This window comes from Homo sapiens, chromosome 20 (genome assembly GCF_000001405.40).
Source record: "Homo sapiens chromosome 20, GRCh38.p14 Primary Assembly".
Taxonomy (NCBI): Eukaryota; Metazoa; Chordata; class Mammalia; order Primates; family Hominidae; genus Homo; species Homo sapiens.
The window spans coordinates 16,258,752-16,260,678 of NC_000020.11; the positions used below are offsets into that span (position 1 = coordinate 16,258,752).

General features: G+C 59.0%; 1 annotated feature.

The window, feature by feature from the left end:
* Nucleotides 783–1,296: an enhancer, noted in NCBI's record as "H3K27ac-H3K4me1 hESC enhancer chr20:16240179-16240692 (GRCh37/hg19 assembly coordinates)". NCBI's record gives its function as "activates a minimal SCP1, AML or CMV promoter by ChIP-STARR-seq in primed H9 embryonic stem cells {active_cell/tissue: H9 hESC(primed)}" and the evidence as "EXISTENCE:reporter gene assay evidence [ECO:0000049][PMID:30033119]".

A 1,927-nucleotide genomic window follows, 5' to 3' on the forward strand; every position in this document is an offset into this window, starting at 1 on the left:
ATCCCAAACACACACACTACCTCCGCATCCCAAACACATATACCCCTTCCCCATCCCAAACACATACACCCCTTCCCCATCGCCAACACACACACCCCTTCCCCATCCCAAACACACACACCCCTTTCCATCCCAAACACACACCCATTCCCCATCCCAGACACACCCACCCGTTCCCCATCCCAGACACACACAACCCTTCCCCAATTCCAAACACACACCCCTTCCCATCCCAAACACACACACCCATTTCCCATCCCAGACACATCCACCCCTTCCACAACTCTGAACACCCACCCCTTCCCCATCCCAAACACACACACCCCTTCCCCATCCCAAACACACACACCCATTCCCCATCCCAAACACACACACCCATTCCCCATCCCAAACACAACCACCCCTTCCCCATCCCAAACACACACACCCCTTCCCCATCCCAAACACACACACACCTTCCCCATCCCAAACACACCCACCCTTACTCCATCTCAAACATGTACACCCCTTCCCCTATCCCAAAATACACACATCCATCCCTACACACCCTCACCCATTTCCCCATCCCAGAACCTATGCACCAACTCAGTTTATTTGAACATGCCAGGCACTGAACTAAGAGAACCAAAGTAGCAGGAGGAATACGGTGTTGTCCTCCCAGAACTTACCCCCTGCACGGGAGTCAGCCAGGGAAGCAGAAGGCTACCAGATAGTTGCTAAACGCCATGAGATATCCCACTGAGTCTGGAGTGAATCTAACTCCCTAGGCCCAGGCTTGCCTAACTTGGACCCAGCAGCCTCAGCTTCATCCCAGCCCTCCCTCAGCCTCACCATGTGGCCCCTGCTGGCCCTAATGCACCAGGTCACCTTCACTCCTCCTGCAGTCTCATCACGGGGCCCCTGCTGGTCCTAACACACCCAAGTCACCCTCACCCCTCCCTCAGCCTTACCACGTGTCCCCTGCTGGCCCCAGCGCACCAGGTCACCCCTCACCTCTCCCTCAGCCTCACCATGTGGCCCCTGCTGGCCCTAATGCACCAGGTCACCTTCACTCTCCTGCAGCCTCACCACGTGGTCCCTGATGGCCCCAGCATATCAGGTCACCCCTCACCTCTCCCGCAGCCTCGCCACGTGGTCCCTGCTGGCCCCAATGCACCAGGTCACCCCTCACCCCTCCCGCAGCCTCGCCACGTGGTCCCTGCTGGCCCCAATGCACCAGGTCACCCCTCACCTCTCCCGCAGCCTCGCCACGTGGTCCCTGCTGGCCCCAATGCACCAGGTCACCCCTCACCCCTCCCGCAGCCTCGCCACGTGGTCCCTGCTGGCCCCAATGCACCAGGTCACCCCTCACCCCTCCCGCAGCCTCGCCACGTGGTCCCTGCTGGCCCCAATGCACCAGGTCACCCCTCACCCCTCCCGCAGCCTCGCCACGTGGTCCCTGCTGGCCCCAATGCACCAGGTCACCCCTCACCCCTCCCGCAGCCTCGCCACGTGGTCCCTGCTGGCCCCAGCATATCAGGTCACCCCTCACCCCTCCCGCAGCCTCGCCACGTGGCCCCTGCTGGCCCTCTCGCACCCAGGTGGCCTTCACCTTCCACTCCTGCCTGGAGAGCCCCTCCTCTGTTACTTTCTGGCGAATTCCTCCTTGCATTCTCAGGTGAATTTCATGTTTTCGCCTATAGGAAGTCTTCCTAGAGGCTTGCAGGACTGAGACAAAAGCCTTTGAATCCCTCTTCCTATAAGAATCATGCTGACCTAATCTGGACCAATGCTCTTTTAGCCCTGAAATGGTGGAAACATTCTGGACACTCATGGGGAAGAGGCAGGGGAAGGAAGCAGGGAGAGGAAAGGAGGAGAGAAGGAGGAAGCAGGAGAGAGGGAAGAGAGTGTGGTGTTGGGTAAGTCACCACCCCTATCTACAACATTT